General features: G+C 38.3%; 1 protein-coding gene across 3 annotated transcripts in view; it reads right to left on the reverse strand.

Annotated features, from left to right (window-relative positions):
- PAPSS1 (3'-phosphoadenosine 5'-phosphosulfate synthase 1) overlaps positions 1-26730 on the reverse strand; it is a 106569-nt gene that overhangs the window by 15458 nt on the left and 64381 nt on the right. For all 3 annotated transcript variants that reach the window (NM_005443.5, XM_011532401.2, XM_011532400.3), the window contains exons 8-11: positions 25572-25777; positions 24368-24503; positions 15679-15947; positions 2508-2737 (exon numbers count right to left, since the gene is read on the reverse strand). In NM_005443.5, coding sequence (NP_005434.4) covers positions 2508-2737; positions 15679-15947; positions 24368-24503; positions 25572-25777 — 841 coding nt within the window. The remainder of the gene's footprint in view (positions 1-2507; positions 2738-15678; positions 15948-24367; positions 24504-25571; positions 25778-26730) is intronic.

Here is a 26730-nt window from a genome sequence, read left to right on the forward strand (position 1 = left end):
AAGAAGGGTAAGACATCAGTTTGAAAAAGAGCCCCTATCAGGGCAATATGAGTTCTGCTAAAACTGAAGCAAGAACAAACATCAACTTTATGGTTAAGCTTGGGTAAAAAGAATGGTGAAATCACTGATGCTTCAGCAATAGTTTATGGGGATAATGTCCCAAAGAAATCAGCAGTTTACATTTTAAGAAGGGACAAAATGATGTTGGAGATGATGCCCATAGTGGCAGACCACATAAATTTTCAAGGAAGAAATTAATCTTGCCCATGCCCAGGACCAACAATTTTGATAGTAGAGACAAAAGCCAACACCATAGACATCTCAGTTGGTTTGGCTTACACGATTCTGACTGTAAAATTAAAGTTGAGCAAACTTTCCACTTGACTGGTGCCAAAACCACTACACCCAGATCAGCTGCAGACAAGAGCAAAGCTTTCAATGGACATTTTAAACAAGTGGGATCAAGATCCTGGTAAGAACTGAGGGAGGAGATCAAACGTGGCTTTACGAGCACAATCCTGAAAATAAAGCACAACCAAGCAATGACTACTAAGAGGCAGAAGTGGTCCAGTCAAAGCAAAAGTGAACCAGTCAAGAGCAAAGGTCGTGGAAACAGTTTTTTGGGATGCTCAAGGCATTTTGCTTGTTGACTTTCTGGAGGGCCAAAGAACAATAACATCTACTTATTATGAGAATGTTTTGAGAAAGTTAGCCAAATCTTTAGTGGAAAAACGCCCAGGAAAGCTTCACCAGAGAGTCCCTCTCCACCATGGCAATGCTCCTGCTCATTCCTCTCATCAAACAAGGGCAATTTTACAGGAATTTCAATGGGACATTATTAGGCATCCACCTCTAAGGTCCTAATTTGGCTCTTTCTGGCTTCATTTCCTAATCTTAAAAAATCTTTAAGGGGCACCCATTTTTCTTCAGTCAAAAAAGACTACATTGACATGGTTAAATTCCCAGGACCCTTGGTTCTTTTTTATCCCTAGTCTCCAGATCTCCAGATACCCTCATCCTTCAGGAATGGATTAAATGACTGGTATCATCACTCACAAAAGTGTCCTGATCTTGATGGAGCTTATGTTAAGAAATAAAGTTTACATTTTTTATTTTTATGTTTTAATTCCATTTTCCACAAACTTTTTGAAGTCCCCTCACGTATGTTTGATATAGTTTGGCTCTGTGTTCCCACACAAATTCCATCTTGAATTATAATCCCCACATGTCAGGGGAGGAACCTGGTGGAAGGTGATTAGATCATGGGTGCAGTTTCCCCCATGCTGTTTACAAGATAGTGAGTTCTCATAGATCTGACGGTTTAAAAGTGTGGCACTTCCCCACTTTGTTCTCTTTCCTGTGGCCATGTAAATCGTGCTTTGCTTCTCCTTCACTCCCCAGCCATGCAGAACCGTGAGTCAATTAAACCTCTTTTGTTTACAAATTATCCAGTCTCATGTCGTTTTTTATAGCACTGTGAAAACGGATAAATACAATGTTCAATACTACCAATAATTTGTACTAAAAGCTTGGGTTTTTTTGCTCTTCCTAAGATCTTTGAAGACAGAAGTTGTGCTGTTAATGATTAAGACCACAGACTCTAAAACCAGACTGCCTGGGTTCATCTGCTGAGCTGCCATTTACTAGTCCTGTGACCTTATACAAGCTACTTAGCCTTTGTATGCCTCTAGATACTCACCTACAAAATGGAGGTAACAGCACCTACTTTAGAGATTGTTGTGGAAAATACAAGTTGAGCACCCCAATCCACAATCCAAAATACTCCAAAATCTGAAAATTTTTGAGCACCAACATGACAAAAGTGGAAAATTCCATCTCTGACACCTTTGCTTTCTGATGGCTCAATGTACACAAATTGTTTCATGCACAAAATTATGTAAAATATTGTATACAGTTACCTCCAGGCTATACATATAAGGTATATTTGAAACATAAATGAATTTCATGTTTAGAATTGAGTCCCATCCCCAAGGTACCTCATTCAAATATTCAAATATTCCAAAATCTGAAGGAATCCAAAATCAAAAACACTTCTGGCCCCAAGCATTTCATACAAGGGATACACAACCTATAAATAATTTAATACTTGTAAATAATTAGGACATTGCCTGTCACATAGTGATTGCACAAATATTAGCTAAATTCTCTCTCCATACATAGACTCCCTGGGCTTACCAGAGTAAACATCACTAAGTCCTCAAACTAGTTATGCTCAGTAAGCTATAGCAGACACAGTAGGCAGAGAAATAACAATATTGTCCTTACAGACTTCAAAACAAAATTCCTGAAACCATGAAACTAGATTCAAGTTTTATTTCTACTTCTAATTTCCAGAATGTTGGGAAATTACTTTTCTGGGTTTACCTTTCTCTGACATGAGTACCACAAAACCTGTCATCAGTAAAGATTAGACAATAAGCTAAATCCCTGGGAGCAGCTAGACCACGAAGTACTTCAAAGATTTGTACAGAGAATGTAAGACTTACTGTTCAGAGTCATAGTAGTCCATACGCTTCTTTTTCTTGTTGTAAGCTGCAACTCGAAAGGGAACTATTTCCAAAGTGATTAAACCAGGGGCCATCGTCAGCACTTTGGCACCATGACTTGGCTCATAAAGATCCTTCCCTGTTTCTGGATGAGGCATGCCAGCAGGGTCTCGTCCAACAATGTAAAAGTTGGCTCCTGCAACCATCCGTGCTCTGCAATGCCACTGGACCTAGAATAAAAGTTTCATTTTAGGTAACTTTGCTTTTATGACTATGTACTTAGAAATAGTAAGTGGATAATAAATGCATATGCTTTTTATAAAATCATTATCGGTAGGAAATCTCAACAAATTTAGATGTATCATCCTGGGAAGCCAGAAACAAAACTAACAAAAAACAAAAACCTCCCCCAAACCAAAAGATTAAAAGCATATATCCACAAATATTTATGGATATATATGTATATATATTTATGTATTACTTATAAGATATATGTAAACATACATGTGTCTAGATGTTTGATTTTACACAACTACCAGATGCCATTTACACAGCTCAAAATCTAATATATGAGGTTAGAAGTCAGGATAATGGCTGATCCCTGGAGGGAGGCAACTGCAAGGAGCTTCTGGAATCATGGTAATGCTCTGTTTCTTGATCCAGTATCTGGGTGCTGGTAATTAGGGTGTGCTCACTGTAAAAGTTCATTGAGATATATACACACTTATAATTTATGAACTTTTCTGTATATTATACTTTAACAGGTTAAAAAAAAAACCCTGTTGGATAAAAATGACATGTAGGTACTTACATAAACTAGTACTGAGAAAATCGTATAACTAATATATAACTAATCTTATAACATATGCCTAATACTAGTTAAAAAAAAAAAGATTGGTTGTGAGTAAACGGCCATGCTGCATCCAAAACTAGCCTTGAAGCCTCTAGTTTCAGGCCTAGTAAGACCTATTATTAAAAAACAAAAATTAGTCTAATACCTAGAATAATGAAACTTTAGAATTTAAAGTGACAGTAAAAGATCATCTCTAGTTCAACATTCTCCATAAAATTTGAAGAAAGTGAAGCCCCCGAAAGGTTAAATGACTGGCCAATAAAGTTTAGGATAAACTCAGGCCTAGAAATTTGGTTTTAGCTTCCTTTCAGTGTAAGTCTCCATTATTTAATAATTTATAAAACCATCACTGTTCCATATTAAAATAAGGTATAAATGATAACCACTACACATAAATAACCAAATCATCTTTTATTGTTTTGTTTTCATTTTCTCTCTCCTGGTAATCTCCTGCATACCAGGTACTTATCTATTTACCAACATAGTTTAGAAAGTGCAATAGTAAGAGTGCAATTCCATACCTCACACTTGAATTGTTCACCCTGAGGGGTTTCAACTTTTTAAGTTGTTTCTACTGATGTTTGCCTGCATGTTTTCAAACAGCATGCTTACACTTTGTTATGACTGTTTAATTTTACATAGTATATAACATAGACCTTATTTCCACATCACTTAGACTTCCTACCATATTCGAGTATTTAATGAGGTTCTTATTCCCCAACAGGTACAGTGATATCAACATTTTTGATGAAATCAATATTCATCTGTAAAGTGAGGATTATAATAGTATTTATCTCATAGAAGTTTTAAGAAAATTAATAAATGAAACATGTGAGGTCTTAGAATAATACCTGGCACACAGTAAATATACAAGAAATATTAGCCACTATTATCTCTATTTTAATCCCCTTTTTGCACAACTGTTTTTCCTAGAGTTAATGATTACCTTGATTTTTTTCCACTTGCATAGCTTTGCCAGGTTTCTGTGTACCTTGCTCTAACCTGCTTCATGACCACACAGTTTAACATAATAATAAAACTGTGTGTGTATGTGTGTAAAGATAAGGGAAAAAATACAAAATTCAGGACAGAGATTATCTGGGGTGGGGGGTGGTGGATGATGGAAATGGCAGCGTAAAAAGAATGGGATTGGTGGCTGGGCACAGTGGCTCATGCCTGTAATCCCAGCACTTTGGGAGGCTGAGGCGGGCAGATCACGAGGTCAGGAGATTGAGACCATCCTGGCTAACACGGTGAAACCCCATCTCTACTAAAAATACAAAAAATTAGCCGGGTGTGGTGGCGGGTGTCTGTAGTCACAGCTACTCGGGAGGCTGAGGCAGGAGAATGGCGTGAACCCGGGAGGCGGAGCTTGCAGTGAGCTGAGATAGCACCACTGCAGTCCGGCCTGGGCGAAAGAACGAGACTCCGTCTCAAAAAAAAAAAAAAAAAAAGAATGGGATTGGTAGCAGTACCTGCTAGATTATAAGTCATACTTATCAAATTAGCAGCAATTCTATGTTGTTCATTAAATAGTCTGTTTATTGGTTTTGAGACAGGGTCTTACTCTGTCACTCAGGCTGGAGTGCAGTGGTGCAAAAATGGTTTACTGCAGGTTCAGCCTCCCGGGCTCAGGCAATCCTCCCATCTCAGCCTCCCAAGCAGCTGGGACCACAGAGATGCGCCACCATGCCTGGCTATTTTTTATTTTTTGTAGAGACAAGGTCTTGCCATGTTCCCCAGGCTAGTCTTGAACTCCCGTGCTGAAATGACCCTCCCACCTCAGCCTCCCAAAGTGCTGGGATTACAGGTGTAAGCCACCGTGCCTGGCCATTAAATAGTTTTTAAAAATAACAAATACATACATAATCAAGATTAAGAAGAGCAATTAATTCAGGGGCTAATGACAAGGCATCACGTACCACAGATAATGATTAATCCAATTCTGTGCATCTGAGGTTCATGCAAGACATTTTTAGGAAGTAATATTAATTTACATTCCCACCATGTTTTACTTTTTCCAAGTAAATGGTGGATCATTTTATTAAGGTTCAAATTTACCAACAAAATTAACAAGATATGTTATCTACACATCATTTAAAATAAACCCAAAGAAATACATTTCTTAAAATGTAGCTCATATTTTACCTAATTTGGTTCATAGGGTTCCTAACTCACATTGCTTAAATGTATTCCAAAGTATATGAACCATAAGATTTTGTATACATTACACAAGTTGGAAAAAAAATTAAAAGATGTCTAAATTTTGCAAAAAATATTCACAAGATCTAAAATTTCTACAATATTCTAGACATTTTTTTTTTTTTTTTTTTTGAGATGGAGTCTCGCTGTGTCGCCCAGGCTGGAGTGCAGTGACGATCTCGGCTCAGTGCAAGCTCCGCCTCCTGGGTTCACACCATTCTCCTGCCTCAGTCTCCCGAGTAGCTGGGACTACAGGCGCCCGCTACCACGCCCAGCTAATTTTTTTGTATTTTTAGTAGAGACGGGGTTTTACCGTGTTAGCCAGGATGGTCTCGATCTCCTGACCTTGTGATCCGCCCGCCTTGGCCTCCCAAAGTGCCAGGATTACAGGCGTGAGCCACCGCGCTTGGCCTATTCTAGACATATTTTTAAAGTTTTTTCTAAAATGTTTTATTTTTCCTTATTTTTTATATTCTATTAGCCTTGACTAAAACATGAATACACTTTTTTAGATAGACTTCATCAATTTCCAGTTCCCTGACCAAAGAAACCTACTGTTTGAAAAAGACAAGTTCCCTAAAGATGACTGCTAAAAACAAAAAGTGAGAGAAAAAACTCGAGGGAAAAAAATCTTAACTTTTATACTGTATTTTATTCCCAAGCATTAATATGGTATACATTTGCTGATCTTTTTTCACTAGGGTACAGCTTAAAATAAACTAAAAGAATTAAAGAGAAAAATATTTCCACAAATATGATTCTTTTTGTCATCAACAAAGCCAAGAAGATGCTCATCCAACATGTCAATTCAATGACCTCTGCATTTAAACGCAGGCCAATAATTAAAGGAAATAGGTGGAGCAAATAAGGACTGCTTTCCTCTACATACTTCCAATCTCCTACAAACTGTTTTTATGATAAAGTGAGGCAATTATAGGAAACAAAAAGGAGAAAAAATAGGATGTGACCAGTGAGTTAACATTTTAAAAATAAAACCACTTAAAAAATAAATAAATAAATAAATAAAACCACTAACATAAATTTATATGCTGGTAATAGCCTTACAGAAAGAATAATCTACATGCTGGGACCATGAAACTAAAAAATTATGTAATAAACATTACTTTATAAGACTTTAAAATATTCTTATCACCCGAAATAGCACAACAGTTGCATTTTCTGGAAGCTGTGGTGTTTCATGGACTTGGTGACATAGGTACACAGAGACCCCTGGCTTAGTAAGTGTGCTTCTCTGTTTATCTTGTCAGTCACAAACTTTCAAGCTTCCAGTATTTCAAAGTCAGTGACAAAGCAGGCATGTGAGTGCACAGTGATTACCTTTTTAAACAGTATTATACTACTTTGCTCTGCTTATGTGAAAGAAAACTGGGTATAAGATATCCGAAAGTCAAGATTTTGATAACATGTCAAACAACCCAAGCAATTTCAATTCCAGAAATATTGTGAGGCAAATATGCAAAAAAGGTTCATTTCAGGATTCATTACGGGTTGTCAAAAGACAGAAACTAACTCAAAGATCCTTCAATTGGGTGTTGTTATTGAATTAAATTCCTAAACAGCAGGGAACTGTGCCATCATTTAAAAAAAGATCAATATTTAAATTAACATAAGAAGGTATTTATAATATAGGAAGGTTAAGAAGCAGTTTTACGATACAAAATACATAATAGAAATGTTGGGGAGAAACGAAACAAACGTTCTAGGCCTTGATCTCTAACACAATCATCATGCCCTAGAGAATCTGATTTTGGAAAATCACTCGTTGAATTCGCTTACTAGTGAAACGACAGCAGAAGCGTGCAACTCAAGGAAGACGAGGAATGAGAGTGATGGGAAGTATGAATTCTAAGAAATCAAAGGGGGTAACACTCTGGAGTGTAAGGCAGGGCTTAACACTCCGGAAACAGAATAATGGAATCCCTAGTGTACACCTGATTCACTGTGTGGTACAAAATTTCCACACTGCCTTGTTCGAGAAAATGAAAAAGCAGGGGAGGACAGGAGGACCAAATTCAAATAAATAATACTTAGGTTCCATAATTATCTCATTTCACCATTAGACAGGGTTTCAGAATTGTCTTATCAAAATGGAAGGCAGAACATGGGCTACTAAAAATAAATAACTGTAATTAAAATAAACAGATTATTTGTTTCAAAATTTCCTTCCCAAAGACATTTGTGGAGCTAAGGTTTACTCAAATTTTTACTTAATCTCCATAGTGTGAGTCAAACAAGTAAGAATTAGTTAAGTTTACTATCTAATAGTGAGAATAGGAAAGTAGTTTCTGATCCAAATTATAGCCAATGCTTTAAAAAAATTTATCTATGAAAATTTTAGTTCTATAATGGTTTCTCCTTGCCATCCATCATAGGTTAAGATACCACATGACTAATAAGTCAATGATCGCTGATGGATAAGAACCTCAGTTACTTACCTCCACACACATTTATAATATAAAATCCTTCAGAGTTAGAATTGTTCTAGATTCATCCCAATATGGCATGTTATTGAGAAGAGTTTCTTAACCTTTTAATTCATGCCCCTTTTTATAAACCTGAAAATCTCATTTGTTCCAAATCCATTTGAAAATACTGTCTATCACTTATCTCCCCACTTCCAAACCTGGCAAAGACTTCGGTAAATTTTATTTTCATTAGTTTCTAAAACAAAAACAAATTAAAAACCTACTTTTCAAATTTAATTACATTATAAAATTATAAAATGGACTATACTGCTTACATATAATACCACTACCACTAAACCATTCTCTCCCCACACCTGACGGTTGAGAAATTTCACTGTTCCAGAAATCTGGCAGATTAGATATATGATATTTTCAATTTTTCTGAATTAAAAATACTGAGAATAATGAATTGAACAATTAAAATTTAAGTCCCACTTAAGTGGCTTATTTCTTTATATCTTCACACCAAAATCTGCATTTATTTAAGTGTAATAAATTTTATTAAAGTCAATATTCTATAAGGCCAACTTTATATTCTCAAAGTGTTTATAAAAGAACATCAGGCACAGAAACTATTTTTTTAGTAAATGTTTGAATATTATTTTCTAGACTGTCAAAAACATTGGTTGTGTTAATGCTATAAAAATTCTTTAGGAAGTCAAGTGCATTACCTAATTTTGCTGTGTAAAAAATCTATACCTTAATTAATCTCATGAGTTCCATATTAAAATATCCCTAATCTTAGTTGTACATTATCTAGCATTAATATGTTTTCTTGAAATTCCCAAATCATAGTGGCCTGCCTCTTGATTTTCCAGAGATAGGAATTATTTTAAACTCTTCAAGCTGACTGGAACAATCTACACAGGCAAGTGAAAGGTGAGGCTCATCCTCCCATCATACAGATTCCTGATACTGTGGCTTTTGGTCTTCTTTGTATTAATAAAACTGATATTCTAAGTGTTTCAATTAAGTTCTATTACTCTGTACTGGTACTGAACAGTAGTCTCATGAGAGTCACATTTCTAGTTTGCAATGCAAAAATTATGAAATATACTTGGACATTTCATTCTTCATCTTGTAGGAAAGAATTAAACATACCTTACAAAAACTCTCATACAATTTTAAGAGCTGAAAGGCAGTCTACATCATGGAGTCTGAATTCTTCATTTCGTATATGAGGCCCAATACAAGATACACAGAATTTCCCCAAAATTTCCTTTAAGGATAATCTCTCAATCTCCAAAAAGATATACCTCAAATGTAAGAGCTGCATTTTTTTCAGAACAACCAGCAACCAAACTAATTTTATTCTTGGAAGTGACCTTGCCCTGGCTGACCCCAGACCCCTAGTCAGGTGAGAACAGTATCAGCCCTCCCAGAGTGGGGGCTCAGAGTGGAGACAACAAGCCTGGAAATGCTCAGCCTCCACCTCCTCTTCCTGCCTCCCAAACCCAGGGACCCTCAAGAGGCTCTCTGCCCTCCCACTGATTATTATTCTAAGAAAACAGAGGAAGGCAACCATGGTGATAAAGCACTGGAAAGTATTTCATGAGGTCCTTCAACAGGGTGAGAAGAAGAAATTAAAATAGGTAACACTTACCAAGCTCTTCCTAATATACCAGTCACTGTACAAAATGTTTTATAAATATTATTTAATGTTTACAGCAAATCAATAAGATAGTTATTATTCCTGTTTTACAAATAAGAAAACAGGGACTTGGAGAATTCAAATAACATATCCTAGCTGCAAAATGAACTAGTGAAGGATCAAGTCTTTGGACCTGGGTCTGTGTGACCCCAAAACCCACACATTCCTATTCATACTGAGCTACTGACGCTGTGTCAAGGACATTTAGGGAGGAAACTGTATAGATTACCTAGCTGGGAAATCAGGAAAACCTGAAAAATCAGACTAACAGACAAATCTGAATTTGATACTGCTTTAGTAAGAAACAAGCAAGAACAAATTCTGAACTGAAACTCTATTAAGAGAAAAAAAATGACATTTTTTCCCTATGAAAAGCAACCTATAAACACCTGCAAAATCTGATGCTTCCTAATGAAATAAGTTCAGTTTTCAAGACATATATAAGCTAAAAGTATATAAAACAGACTACAGGGATCCCCAAAATTACTTTCAAAGTAAATCAACACACTCTAAATACATTTGTGGTACAGGTCCACAATTGCTTATCTAAAATTCTGAAATCTAAAACTCAGTTTTGTAACTCACTTGGTAGCAAAACCTGATCAAAACTGAGGAAGTTTCTACCAGCCTTTTTGCCGATCCTATTTGTGAGAAAAATCATTTACTTTGCTACAGGAATATTAATGTGCTTTAATATGGGGGTACCATCCCAGACCCATCAGGAGAAATAAGTAATACATAATCCTAAGGATTTTGGAAAAGAGACTGTGAACTGTGTCATACTACTCAATAAACTTTGGAACAAGATAAATGAGAAGACAAAATTATCAAAGACCCCCAAAGAGAGTCAAAGGTACAAGTAAAACTTAGGTGTCTATGGCTTGTATAATTAGACTCAGATCTCAAGAAGTAACATCAGTTGCTAGAGCTCTTGGAAGTGTGTAGAGGGAAGAACAAGTTTATATCCTAACAGACACCCTACTCACTGCTCCAGATACTGGTGTAAAGCACAGACTAATTAAACAAGCACACTGGCATCCATGTCATAGTATGTTCTACTGTCCCTGGTGAAGGGTATCCACTCGCTTACACAGAATCAGTTTCTCTTAAAGAGTCAATTAACAGTGCATGGGTAATTTTCATAGCAAAGGATAATCTCTACCTCCAACTGCATTTTCCCCCAAATTCAACTGATAATCCTCATTAAAACTTCATAAACCGAGGGTATAGCTGTTAGTAACATATATCCACATTCTCAAAAACATCTTACCTTTGACACTTTCACGTCACAGGTCTTAGCATTATTTATCCTTCACAAAAATAGATTCAGTATTTAGTGAGATGAGACAAATAGAATTTCCTACATAGTCAATTAATACCTCACAAAGACAAAATGTGTATCTATAACACCATTTTAGCATTAGAAAGTTAACACTCCCTTCACATCCTCGCCTCCTCCATTCCTGAAATGGAATTTAGGATTCAAGCCATAAAATCTTTATAGACTATAAAATCAGGAACATCCTGTTGATAACCAAATAGGCTTAACAGCTGCCCATGGTTCTGAAAAGCATTTGTGCTAAGGAAACAAATCTGGTACCAATGCCTTCTAAATGACCTACAGAAAATGATTAAAGGAAGAGTCGTTGTTTTTATTTTATTATTATTAGTTGGCAAATAAGCATTACTGACAGACTTTTTCCTGATGTCACTGGAAAAGCTACAAAAATGAGAGGGTTTTTTTTTATTACAAAAAAATTCTTCACTTATGGCTGCAAATAAGTCAAACAAGTCAAACACACAAGTTAGGTCCTCGAGAAAGATACTTTTCCTAAGCAGCTCAATCCAACAGCCTAAATACTGTCAGGCCAAAAACATTAAAACACTTCATGGTCTGAAATATTAAGATGTTTACTAGAATTTCCAAAGCTTATTCTTTACAAGTTCAGAAGTTAAAAAACCGCCTTTTGCTCAGGCATCAGAGCTGGGCCTTCCTGAAAAGAACCACATCTCTTACGCTCACAATTCACACTCCAGACAGAGATGTAGAGGCAGACACAGCTTTAACGTGCCTCTTAGTCTCCCTAGAAAACCTGGGAGCTCTGCAGGCACCCAGAACAACTAACTTCTTGGCCTTCCCTCCAAATGCCAAAGCACAAAGCTACTTTGAGGCTTCTTGGCAGCAAGGAGCCCTAGAAGGAAAAAAAACAGGCCCAAGTTTCAGTCCCAGTTCTGTGTCTCTCCTAGACAGAACACTAACTAGTCAGGCTCCCCTGAGCCCTCTAAGCCTTGACCTTCAGTGTCCATCCTTACCAGGCCTGCATTGCCCAACTGTAGCAAAAATCTTGCTAAGTTTGTTTATTGAGAATCCTCTACTCTCAGTATCTGCTCACCCTCATTATCTGATCAAATTCCTTATCTTCCACCCACTTCCCAGGTATCTGATGATCCTGGCCTGCCTTCAGCAAGAATCCAGTTTATCCCAGAATCCCCTACTTCCAATGTTTCCTCTCAGTAATTTTCCATCCACTTACCTCCACCCTGTCCTTTGCTATCAATCCCCACCTGTCCATGCTATATTCAGAGTTGAGCCCAGTTCTATACTGAGGGCTTTATTCTCCTGTTGCAATATTTCCTGAATAAAGTTCTGTTTTTATTACTTTAATCACTGTACAGCTCTGGTCTTCTTTGACAGACTACAGTTAAGTCCCTTATCCTCTCTGAGCTTCAGTAATCTCACTGGTAAAACAAGAATAAAACCTTCCTCACCAAGTTGTGGGGTAACCTAACGCATGCATGCAAAGCAGCTATTCATTGAGTGACACATGCATAGGCACTCATAAAATAGGTACTTTCAATTTCTTTATATTAGCTTTATATTATATTAAACACCAAAGGATATCCCAAATCAGGGCTAGGACACACGCTCTGACATGAAGCCTGTTAGGCAGTAGGTCATACCAGGCTCCCTGCCATAATCAAACTCTAGGACTTCATAGACTTATGAAGCAGCCTAGAGATATAGACAGTTCCTTGGATGTGGGGCTAGAATCCTAGAAATGCAGAGAATTTGCAGCAAAGTAGTTTTTTAAAGGACACCAATTATATTAATTACCACATCTTGTCATGAGCCAGGCAATGTGTTAAATGATTTACATTGATCCTATTTTCTCCTCTCAACAATAGAAACATAGACAGATATTACCAATATCATGAGTCAGGTATTGTAAGAATACAAAGATTAAGAATACATATTATACAAAGAATATCACAACCCACAACTCTAGGCTCTGATAAAAAAATAAGTTTATTTGGAGATTCCACCTCTAACGAATGTTGCCAGGGCCATCCTAACTCACTATTTTGGAACTCTTATAGGATATTATAAGAATTTATTTCTAGTATTTTAAAAAAGATGTGGCTACATATTTTTAAAAATATTTTAACGTTATATAATATTAAAAATTATGTGAAATTATAGTACATAGCTCTGGAGCCAGATTACTTAGGTTCAGATTTTATCTCTACCATTTACTAATACTATGTGATCTTGAACACAGTTTAACCTCCCTACTTCAGGTTCCTCACCTGTGAACTGTGAATAACAATAGTACCTACCCTCTTAGTATTATAAGGATTAATCCTTATAACATAAGTTATAAAACCTAACATAAAACTTACAACAAATAACTTATAACATAAGTTATACATTAACTAGCAATCTTTATAAGGATTTAGTTAACATATGTAAAGCATTCAGAATATTGTCTGAAAAATACAGTAAGAAATCAATAAAATATGGACTATTATATTCTATTTCTCAATGCTTTATAACTACAACTCATTTACTAAGACTCCATTTCAGTGAAACTGGTTCAATGAGGAGATTTTTTGAGGCTGGTTAAGAAATAGGAAAAGTATTACAGAGTGCTTGGCTAAGTAATCAGCACTAAAGGACCAAAATGGCTAAAATGAAAAGGACACTCAAGTACTGGTGAGGCAATACACTGCTGATGGGAGTGTAAAATGGTACAACCACATCAAAAAACTGACTGGTCGAATCTACTAATGCTCAACAAATACATATCCAAGGACCTAGCAATTCTCCTCCCTGGTATAGCCAACAGGAATGTCCACAAAAAGACATGCACTAAAACCTTCACGCCAGCGCTATTCTTAAGAGCAAAAATCTGTAAAGTGCCCAAACATCCATCAACAATATTGGGTAAAATCACACAGCGAAACACCACACAGCACCAAGAATGAACAATCTGCCACTAATTACATAACAATAAAGGTGAGTTTCACAAGCACAATGTAAAGTGAAAGAAGCCAGACACGAAAGAGTATATGCGGTATGATCTGAATTACAGAAATACTAAAAACCAGCTGGATTTAATGCTGTGATGCAATACTCAGGCCTCCTGCAAGAAGGGAGCGGGCTCTCCAGCAGCTGTCGCCCCGCTCAGAAACTGCTTCTGTTGAAAGGAGCAGCAGCACCCAAAGGTATGCCCCCTCCCATGGGCAGCCAACCCCTGGAAACACGGAGGTATAATGCCTATTTCCCATGCAACTTTGGACATCTCTGAAGGGCCTTTCCAGAGCTCTCCATGGACTCAATTAAAGCCTCCACTGAGACTGAACTGTAGCTCGACCTCCCTCTCTATAGAATCCTGCTCCCTTCCTTTCTCTTCCCTTCCAGAGGTGTTGATCCCAAGAGTTCTCCCTAAGAGACTTCCTGAACCGCACCTCACTCTCAGAGTCTGCTCTCAGGGTATCCAATCTTAAACACAAGCTAACTGGGCCTATGATGTTAATGTGAGGGTACCGATGACTCCTAGGGGGAGGACAAGTAGTGAATAGAAAGGGGCAAGAAGAAAAACTTCTGGGTGATGATAAAAAATTTTTTTTAATCTGGAAGCTGATTGTATGCCTCTGTTCCAATGGGAAAAATTCATTTACTTGCATCTATGAAAGATGCACTTTTTCTTTTAATGCTTCTGTAACTCAAATAATATGTACTTTTTCATATATACTTTCTCATATATATATTATATTTCAATGTGAAGTTAAAAGAAAATAAGACAAATTAGGAAACGATCAGAATGGGACAGAATCTTGAAGAACACTTAGTCCTACCTACACCACCTACTGTGCACTCAAACATAGTATAGAGAGGTCTCAAGAAGTCTAATGTGAGATGGCAAACCAGCTGGTGGCAACCCAGAACCCAAACTGTGCCTGGACTCCTCGACAACCGTCTTGTATTATTTCCACTAGACCATGCTCTTTCGGGTAGTGAGGAGAGTTGAATCTGAGGCCAGGGAAGGACTTGCTGCAGCTAGCATATTGACACGGTTCAGGACACACTACTCCAAAATATGGCACCTTGGCATTTGAGAAAACAGCAGAAGAAAGCAAGCCACTCTCACCTTCCCCTAAGGCAGTCATAAAACCTAGCAGATCTTCCCCTGAAGTAGGTCAAAAGACTCTCATTCCAGAGGTGCCCTCCCTATACCTAGAGGAAAGGAACGTGCCTATCTCTGAAAACACAAGGACACAGAGAAGAATTTAAACAAACAGGCTTTGCCCAGCTCCCCTCTTTAACAAAGACCTAGAACTCTGGTAACGGGACAAGATCAGTGTTGTTGTTGTGTCTGCAATGTGGCCAGCAGTTACAAGAGGAGCTTGTGGCATACCTTCCCAACCACACCCAGCCCTGTCTGCAGGGAACATCCCCTCCTTCACAACTGGGACCAAGACCCAGAAGAGCAAGTGAAACCTCTCCCCACCTTTCCTTTCTCAAGGCTGCCCCTAGCATCCAGGGAATATCCCTAACGAGCAGGAAAGAATGTCATGTATAACAAATGTTTGGAACAGGCCTACAGAGCACAGAAAAAGCAATCGGATGGTGACACTAGCTGTGTTAGTAAGAGTGGCTTTAACACTGCTGCAGTGAAAATCTTACAAGCAGTCTACCTCAGTTGGTCCAGCATACATCATGGGAGATGGGAAGATGGCCACCACTGTCGTCTCAGGATTCAGAACTCCTTCCTCCAACACTGCAGCATGCTGCTTCATACGCCACATCAAAGGAACATCGTCATCCTTTGTCCAGCCACCCAGAGGGTGGAGGAGGAGGACAGGGCGCCGGTAGCCCCTCTCTAGAAGTTGCTTATGGGTATCCTGCATTAACAGGGCATGTCCATTGTGCACTGGGTTGCGTAGTTGAAATGCAAAGACAGCATCTGAAAAGAGAATTTCCAGAGTTAAGAATAGCATGTTTCTAACAGATTACTTTCCAAAGGATACGCAATTTTTCTTAAAACTTGATACTTAGGATTAAGCAAAACATATGCAAACTCAGAAATCAGAAAACTGGTAAAAAAAAAAAAAAAAAGTACTGCTTTGACCATTTAGGATAACATGACCTATACTTCTACTATACAATATTAAGTAAATCATACTTATCTGAGGATATGTACTATAACAATCATGGATTTATAAGAATTACTTTCTTGCATTCATGGGAAATGAGAGCAATCATCAGACTTTCTGGTCCTAATATCCTGGATCCACTGCTTACCATAGATAAACATTTTTGGTCTGTGCCTCAGTTACCCACCAGATCAATCCCTCCAAACGACCTAATATAATGCTTTACTAAGGGAGACAGAAAGTTAGAGAAATATATTTGTAGTTTCAAAAATTTACTTACTGTCCAAATATGCTCACTTACAATTACTTTGCTCGACTAGAACCATATTTTGTTTTATGATCAAAGGTCTGAATTTTGGATTATAGTTTAGCAACAACAATATCCCTTAAAACAATGAAAACTGCTAGACAGACGAAACTGGTTAACTCCTTATCTCCTGCTTACAACCCTGGGTTCATTCCTACGTGGTGCTTGCTAGCAGGAGACCTTTCCAATCCAGTTAGAGGAGCTCTGTATTTTGCCGCCCTCACAATACCTGACAAAGCATCATGCCATGCTGATCCCAGCTCGACTCAGGGAGAGGAACAGCCTCTCTCTTCTAACAATCTGTAAGCCAAATAGTACATCATCTCCAATCTGTTCTCAATTCTGACCCTCTTCTATCACTGTAACAAAAGGTACCACAGGAAGACTGTGGCATCCTACTTAACTGGGATTTTTTGTTTTTGTTTTGCCACATCATGTAAAATCCAAGATTTACAGCATGATCATTACTCTTGGAAGTTCCTCACGTTACCTTTATACATGAACAGAACAGGGCTGGTTTTCACAAAGGAAATAGCTGATATGACATTAGGTACAAAAAACAGAAAAGTCTTGATATACAAGCATTTAAAATTATTTTGCTTTGGGATGGGAGGAGGGAAATATAGACCTAACATTTTTCTATCCTTCTCAATGTACTTCAAATTTGGTTTTACATATGGACATAAAAGATGCCAAAATATCCCTTTTGACCACTAGAACTACAGATATATATATATATATATACACACACACACACACATACACACACATACACACATACACACACACACATCTCTTAGTTTTGTCCACTTTTTTTTTTTTTGTAGCACCGTTGTTTGGTCCTACAAACAATGACTACCCAGTGGCAAGAAGCAAAACAAAAGCCCATACATTCTAAATACCATTCCCCAGTTAAATAAACCAGAGCTCCTTGGCAAATGGCAGCTTTTAGAGCTGGGGCAAGAAAAGTACAACATGAGCTGGAACACCTTTTTGCACCATTAAGAAGGGAAGTGCTCAAAGAATAATGGGGACATCTGATGAAGGCTCATCTGACAGACCACAGTCTACACACTGGTGAATAAAGCCACACTATGACAACAGCAAGAACAGGCACCGCCCTCCCCGTCAAGCCCCTCCCAACCCTGCTCTCAGGTGCCTGAGGTCACTGAGCAGAGCCCTAGGTACTAGTGATTTACAAACCTGTGTCTTCTGACCAGAACTCTACCCAAGCTCAGACTACTGTCTCCCCAACTGCCTCTAAGTGCTCCACAGGCACCTCACCAGCAATTCACCATTACCTACCTCAGAGGCTCAGTTTCCCTTCTTGCCCTGTCCTCCACATGTAATGAGTCCCTTCTGTTCCCTACATCTCATTTGCAGCACACTAATTACCAGCACACTCAGCCTTCATCATCTCTTCACAAGATCTGTCTTCAAATAGGTCTTCCTCCCCTACCCAACTTTACACGACAGCCAGTGACAGGGAAGAAACCCGCCAGGGACAGGATGCAAATGCAGCTGGAGACATGCTGAGCCTGAGGGAGTAGTAAAACTGGCCTACCCTCCAGGGGCTTACAGTCTAGTCAGAGCAGGGGAGCAAAGACGTTCCCTAAGAGAATAAATACATGTTAAAAGGAATATAGTTCCTTCAACTCCAGCAGGACATGACAATATTCCTTCACTTACTCCTCCACACTATTACCACAAGACTGGTGACAGCACTACCACAGTGTGGAGGACAGAGTGAGGGAAGGAAAGAATGGGCGTCTTCACCTATACATGACACTGCTGGACTGGATTCATTGATTGAACCAATTCCTTCCTGTTCCATCAACAGTGAGGATGAAATGAGAGCCAAATTCAAATGGCACTTTCCTGATTTAAGTGGTCCTTACCTCTCTACTGACTGACATAAAAATCTACACCACTTAAGGCCTTCTAACTGTGGCACCAACCTTTTATATGTCATCTGCCTCTCTATGCTTTTTTTTAAAGTAAAAACCACGAAACCCAATAAAATTTGATGAGAAAATCATCCATAAACGCACTGTCCTGAAAGCATGGTCTTTTGTTTTGTTTTGTGCAATCTTCCAGTTTTTCTCTTTGTTGCATACATTTTTACACAGCTATAATCAAACATATGACATTTCTATTCCGCTTGGCCATTCCAGTCTAACCACCTGTTTCTGACATCTTGTGGTCCTCTTGGAGCCACAAGGCTTACTGCTGGGCCCTATGAAATTCCTTCTTGACAGACTCACTGGAAGCTTACCCCTACACCTGGGTTCAATTACCGCACACATACAGATGGCTTCTCTTAGCCACATCTCTAAGTCCTTCCTTCCAGTTCACCGGACAGATGCATTACAAAAACTATTTCAATATACATTGCTCATTACCTACCTCTTTCCCTCAATTCTTCTACCTTTCCTATTACTGTCACATCTCAAGCCAAATTTGGGTCTGGCCCCCAAAGCCTATTCCTTCTCCTGTACTGCATGTCTATGTGAAGGAACTTCCCAGCAGAGCAAGTTCTCTCCCTTTCCTCTGGATTTCCTATCACCTAGTCCAGGAGCCAATACACTAAGGAAACAAGTGAAGTCTGATCCCTTTCCTTCCAGCAGGTAGAAGAGGAAGAAGAAAGTTAAGAAAGTTTTTCTGAGCATATATGTGTGACAAGGAAGGAAATGAAGATATCAGCATTCCGTGAACACATGTAGGACAAGCCACAGGCCGCTTCATCTAGAGGCGTTGCCAGCAAGGACTGTCGTGTCGTGGCACAGTGCAGAGCGACCCAGACTCTACTCTTTCCAAGCTGAGTATCCAAAGACAACTGCAAACTCAGCAAATAAATGAATGAGGTGATAAGCAGGGCAGTGCTTCTAAATCCTAGTCAATCTTCCTCAGACTTCCCAGAACTGTGCTTCACATCCCAGCCCACAGCCAGAGCCCCAGTATCCACCCCAACCACTGAACATAGAATTACAACATCTTCTTGCTTCTTTCCTCTTAACTTCACTGTAAGACTGCGCTACATAGAGCAGTAATTAGTAATTCCTTTCTTCCCTCCCACCCAAGGTTTCTATCTGCCTCTCTACGGTAAAGCTCCAAGAACAGACATTTCTGATTTTCCTAAATCAATATAGCAGCTAAACAAGACAATGGTTCTAGGGTTACTAGAGTTGTGTGTGTGCTTAATGTTTGTTTTTGTGGGTTTTTGTGAAGGGACCTGGAATAACAAAGCAGTTTGATCTCCCCTCCTCCCTTGGGATTATCATAAACTAACAGTCTTTCTTTTACTCAAACTGCTTAAGAAGGTGGGGGGTGGAAATAAAGGAATAAGAGATGGGCCCCTTGAACAAATATAAAGATATTAGAATTTTTCACAAAACTGGTAAATTCATATTCTAAAGTATGGCAGCAATGAACTACTTTCTATTCTCATGACTAAAAACACTTCCAAATTAAAGTAAGATGTTGACTACAAAGCTTTGTGCCAACTGGGTTCTGTGCCGCTTATTTGCCATTCCCCTCCCCATCTATTCTCTGATGTCCTGGGGCAGGGAGCACAGGTGTCCCTCAGGGCTTCCCCTAGAAGGGGCTGTTGTCCTCCTGCCTTGAGGGTGGTGGCATTAGCAGGCAACCAGAGGATGGACGGAGAAAAGTTTTCGGGGAGCTCTTCTCCCCACTATCATCTGCCTCAGCGCGTGATTCTGGCTGTGCCAGTGACCCTGCAACCAGCTTCTGCCCAGTGGCCTTCCCACAGCTGCAGCTCCCACCTGGCTTCAGAAACACTGCTTCCTGCTCTCACCCCTTTGGGACTGGCTAACACTACCCAATGCCACTAGTCCCTGGAACCTCAGCAAATCCTTGTAGGTTCCCTTAACTCTGACCACCTTTCTTTAAATACTCGCTTCACTGAATTATGCTCAAAGCCTCATCTGAGTGTGCCTTCTGCTTCCTGCTGGGAGCTGACTGACACAGGTTCCCTCACCCAATCTCAGCTCTCTGGCTTGCTGTCACTTATCATCGAGATCCACTATCCACTTCAGAGCCAAACATAGATCTGCTTCTGCCTCAGCTTTCTCATGTACCATCCTCAACTTTACTTAAAACATTCTTCTGATGTCTCCACTTACACACTTAAAATGTAGTTTGTAATTCAGCAACGCTATAAAGCTTTCTCAGATTTATTAACACTGTACTACCACACACTATTCTGAAAGAAATTATGTCAACTCTTCCCTTTGCAATCAGCAGGACACCAATATTCTATGTTTAATAAACACTAACAGGCTCTTACTTGGCTTAAGTGAAATGCATTCTTCCCCTCCAGGATACTGGTCAATCATCGGTAATTCAAAGAACTTGCCATCTGGAAATGTATCACCTTGCAATCACCGATGTGTGTATTAAAGATTTCTCAATCCTTCCCAGCTACAGAATGGTCTAAGAACAGCCAAACTGATAGTGCTGTGCACAGGACAATAGCTCACATGGGGTAATCAAAGTACTTCTAAGATGAGGGGAGGAGAAGGAGGAAGAGGTAAGAAAAGAAATCCTAGATTAAGAAAATAAATAAATAAATTCCCTGCTTTCTCTCCCCTGAACACATCAGAACTGACTTGTTATTGGCTTCCTAAAAGAGTGAACAAGAACTACAAAGTAAACTCCTCGGTCTGTTGCTTATTTGCCTCAGTATAAAAATGGAAAAAATAAAATAACACTCCAATTTTTGTTGTTTGATGTAAGGCTAATAACTGGCTCTCAGCTACTTTAAACAAAGTTGCAATCATTCATTATGCAACACATTCTCTAAATGACTTAAAATGTTTGGCTCACAAAGAAGAGTGAAAAACAGATGTAATATGAAAGTCCCTAATTATGAATAAGTCCTTGATAAGACCCTTTCAACAGTGCCAACAATTAATTTACTAACATCAGTTCCAGATATGAATTCAAATTTTGGCAAAAATTTAAATAACATGGTCACAGCAAGTCCTCCATTAAACATGTTTCTGTTCACCAGCAGAAAAGGGAAGTGTACATATAATAAACTACCAGATGTTTCTGGTTGCAAATCACAGAAAACCCAACTAAAAGTATCTTAAATAATTTGAATATATGTTATCTCTTTGAATAAGAAATCTGGAGATAAATGACTCCATGGTTGGATGAGAAACTCACAGTATAAGGACAAAAGTTAGCATATTTGGAATTTTCATGAATACAAAATGGTTGCAGGAACTCCAAACATCCAAAACAGGAAGAGAAGGGTGAAAAAAAAACAGAATTTGTCTGGCATAAGCCACACTGTCAGAAAGAAAATCTTTCCTGAAAACCCTCTTCCTTAGATCTCAATGGCCAGAAATGACTTAATGCATTGACCCTTAAATCACACACTGACAAAAAAGAGTGGGGCATCATTATTAACTTGTATCAATCATTATTCATTCCTGTATACTGGGCCTAAAACATGTTAGCAAAAAAGAAGAGAAATGAGCTGTTATACAGGCAGTACCAAGTATAGCACTCAAAGAAGTTTCTGTATCAGTAATTTAAGCCAAATATTTGCTTCAAAATCAGGAGTAAAGTATAAAAGGAGAAAAGGGATCCCACACTCAAAAACCCTAAAGAAGCCACGAAAGAAATGTGAATGAGTTAAGCAGACTAGGTAGGAACTATGGAGCACTGAAGAGTGGGTGGCCCATCTGAGGCCTCCAGTTCTTAACCCATTTTATTAAGTTCATAACACAGTCTACAGCAGTCTACAGCAGAACTTAGGTATAAATAGATAATTCTTGCTCTAACCTTCACATGAATAAAGTCTAGCTTCAGTTCACACAACAAAAATTAAGGCACCTGTATTACCATGTTGCTATGAAGAAATGCCCGAGACCAGGTAATTTATAAAGAAAAGAGGTTTAATTGACTCACAGTTCCACACAGCTGGGGAGGCCTCAGGAAACTTACAATCATGGTGGAAGGGGAAGTGAACACATCCTTCTTCACATGGTGGCAGGAGAGAGAATGAGAACCAAGCAAAAGGGGAAGCCCCTTATAAAACCATCACACCTTGTGAGAACTTACTGTCACGAGAATAGCATGGGGGAAGCCACCCCCATGATTCAATTACCTCCCACTGGGTCCTTTCCATGACAGGTGGGGATTATAGGAACTACAATTCAAGATGAGATTTGGGAGGACACAGCCAAACCGTATCAACAACTTAATCTCTTACTACATAGCAGTACAGTTTAAAGTGCCTTACACATCTTATTTCACTTTTTAAAGTAAAATGTTATGCTTTAGGTACCATCAATATCCTCAACAATTGTCCATGAGCCTTAGAGAGAAAAGTAATTTCCCCACAAACACAACTGCTAGGTGGTGAGGCAGAGTCTGAACACAGAACTCTGAATGCCTACCAGGAGCATTCTGGAGTTCACCGACACTAAGACAAACACAAATGAAATGCCTGCTCTTTCCCAGTTGTTCTGTAGTTGCTTGGAACGAGGGCCTCTGGTTCACAAACATGGTTTGGTGGCCAGCTATATACCCCAAAAAGGCAAACACATTCACCTGCCCTTTCTCAACCACATCCATCTGATTTCTACACAGAAAATATAAAAGAGAGCAGCACCAGTGCTTAGGGCCAAACCATCTCTGCAGTGGGTGGGAATTAATTAGGAGCACAACTGCAGGATGCTTCCAATTTTAAGGCTTAAAAAAGCCTCCCCAAATCTACAGTGAATGCTGTTCCCTGATACAGAACCTTGAATTTGCAGGTATAGAAAGAGTATGGGTGCACCAAGGTAAGCACATCATTTACCCACCTCTGTGTCAAAGACCTAATAGCAGGAAATATGATATAAAAATCCTGTCCTGGAGTGCTTTATAATATAGAAAGCAGTATTATAAAGAACAGCATCTGTAGCTTCTCTATTCCGCTCTTAAATAACTTTTTCTGTTATTGTTTAATGTCTCTCTCTTCTATACCATAAGCTCCTAGAGTATTTATTTATGGATCCTCAGCACATGGCATACTGGCATATAAAGATCCAGAAACATTTTTTAAATGAAGTGAACATGATAAAAGTTCCGTTGTTCCATTATTTGCTGCGATAAATGACATTGATATATTGGAAGTACACAGTATATATTTGGTGATGTTAGGCTTAACCAGCTGATTCTTCCTTGTTAAGTTTCTTTTACTTCTGTAATTCTATACCAAAAATTTGTACCCAAAGACAGTTTGATGAATTGTTTTGAGAAGTATTTCTATGCGCAGTGTTGTTTCTTTTAATTTTTGCTTTAAACAACTTTCTCTATTGTTTAAATCATGGTCGTGTATCATTGGTACAATGGTATGATACAATGGTCATGTATCATTATTTGCTGTGACACATCACCAAATACACACTGTGCACTTCCAATATATGAATGTCAAGTAAAACATTCTGAGATACATGACATTCATATATATATGAATATATATATGAATACATATATGAATATATATGAATACATATGAATATATATGAATATATACATGAATATATATGAATATATATCTCTCTCATGTAAAACACTCTGACATATAAAGCATATTTATATGAGTGAATTATTCAAATAATATTCTATAGTTCCATTCAGCTTTAACATGCGAGTTTTATAATAAATAAAAGGTAAATTCTGCATTAGCATCTAGCTTCCAGAGTATTCAAAATAATGTCAAATCAAATTATACCAATATAATGAAACTACCCAGGCTAGTTTTGATTGACTACCTTTCTTTACATATTCCACTGCTATATTTACCTGTACTCATCGTTTTACATTTTCGTAAGCACTGGAAAAAATCGTCTAGAACTTTCTCTCCAAGCCGGCCTATATTAGGTAATTAAATCCATGTCTTACCAGCATTCATATCTTTAAATTTCTGCTTTAGCTCAGTAGGAGTAAGACGATACTGATCAAGACCATCATTCCAATAAACTCGATCCAAGACTTGAAGATCTCCTCCAATCAGCCAATCTCCTTGTTCCATCACCATCTAATAGGAAAAACAAATTTTTTTAATGGAAACCGAGATCAAAATAAGTAAAAACATTTCTCTCATATAAGCTAAATACAGTCGTTGTAAGCTACTCTCATCTTAAATGAGGTAAATCTGACTTATCAACTAAATTGACATTAGAGATGCTATAAAATTAGAATCGATTTTGTGATTTCCCAGAAAACTTGTGAAATAACTATCTTTACATATGAAAGGCAAACAAAAGCAATGCGAATAATTACACCTTTTCAAGTAACAAAAACATTCTTTTCGTTATTATCATACATTTATTAACAGAACAATTTGTAGCTCTGGGTCACCCCACACTGTGTTCTCCAATCCTAACCTTTTGAAGAATTAATGATCATCGAGTTCGATACAAATTCATGCCTTCCAATCTCCACACCACCTCAAATTTCTTACAATTTTACTACTTCCTTTCCCTGCATCCGAAAGGAGGAGCTATTACCCTCCAGGACCTGTTCATATTCACAAGGCAGCTCCAGCCCTCCTTTTCCCCATGAGGCTTTGGCTTATGTGCCAACAATGTGCCCAGCTTCTTTCTCAGTCTACCTTAACACACCTAACAACTGACAGAAATTTGACTTCAATAACATTCCACATACAACATATATATATAATAAATGAGGTACTTTGAAGAGAAATTATATTTCACTGCTTTCACATCAAACCACCCTGGTGAGGGCTCCCTTAGCCTCTACCTCACACGCTCATTATAAGTACATGCCTAAGCACACGACGAGATTGTATACTCCAAGAGCTGAAACACTGTGCCGGTGGTGTCCCTGGCCCTGCATTCCTAGCATCAGCACCTAGCTCAGTGCCATGTATACAATAGAGATTTAAAATATGTTTGTTGAATAAATATTTATCTGGACCAAAATGACAAGAGCATAAACACTCATCACAATAATCTAAGGTCCAATCTCTACTATGCAAAATATTAACAATTCCAATGAAAAGTCAATACACAGAAAATGCCCACATTTCAGCACAAACATCATTGGCAAATCAAGATAAAATGCAGCGAGGTTTTTTCAGCACCTTAATATAGGGGTGGTTCTTGCATGTCGTTCCCCACTGTCTGGCACAGCGCTCCTCTTTCCTGTGCTCAAAAAACTCTGGATTGCGAAGAATGGCCACACGGCGGCCCTCATACATCAGAGCAAATGCTGTACAGCCGTCCAGCCTCTCTTTATCTTCATGAGTCGCAGTCAGAACTATAGGTACTGACAAGTTAATGACACCTCCTGCAGAGCACAAAAGAACATGAAGCACACAGCTTGAATTACTCAACACGCTTTACTTAACACCCACCTTTCACTTCAGGGGACACTTTTCAAATAATAAAAGGCTGTAGATCCAGTGACAGTATTCAACTGGTACCTGGCACAGAAAAACGAAAGACAGAACAAGCTATAAGGTCAGGGAGAATGAGCAACGATCTCCCAAGTTAAAAAAAAAAAAAAAAAAGGAAAAATTAAAAGAATCAAACTGTTTTTGGGTACAACATTTTGGTATAGAATTACATAAGTAAAACAAACTGTTTAACAAGAAAGAATCAGCTGGTTAAGCCTAACATCACCAAATACATACTGTGCACTTCCAATATATGAAAGAGACAAAGAACTACGTTTCTGGGCCTTTTCAGGAAAAACTTAAATCCTTGTTGATAACAGGATGACATAATAACTACAATTTATGTGGCAAGTTGATTAAGTATACTTGAGTATCCTTGAGATAGGAAGACAGAACTATCCAAAAAGTTTTTTTAAATACAGTCAAATTCAAACTGATACCAGCTATCACTAACCAAGAAATAAAGACAGTAATGACTGTATTTAAACCAAAATGTGTTGTCAGTGATACTAAAGGCACAGTCTCAGCATGCAACCTTGCAAGCTATAAAAATCTTTTTTCTACTCATCATCTATGGGTTAGAAAAATAAAGTGTGCTCTCACATTCATATTTGGACTATTTATATACTAAAGAAATCATATTTTTTGGACATCATGGCATATCTTCTTTGAACAAAAGATGTCAACGAGAGTAATGATAACTGCTTGGCTGCTTTTTAAATTACTACCACTAGGTAAAGTGTAACATGGAAAATGAATAGGTAGATTTGCACCAAGCCCAAGACTAAATCATCGTAAAGGAGGTAGTCCACAAGACTTTGCAATTAGCTCCAAGGAAGAAAAT

The sequence above is a fragment of the Homo sapiens genome, chromosome 4 (assembly GCF_000001405.40).
Source record: "Homo sapiens chromosome 4, GRCh38.p14 Primary Assembly".
Lineage (NCBI taxonomy): Eukaryota > Metazoa > Chordata > Mammalia > Primates > Hominidae > Homo > Homo sapiens.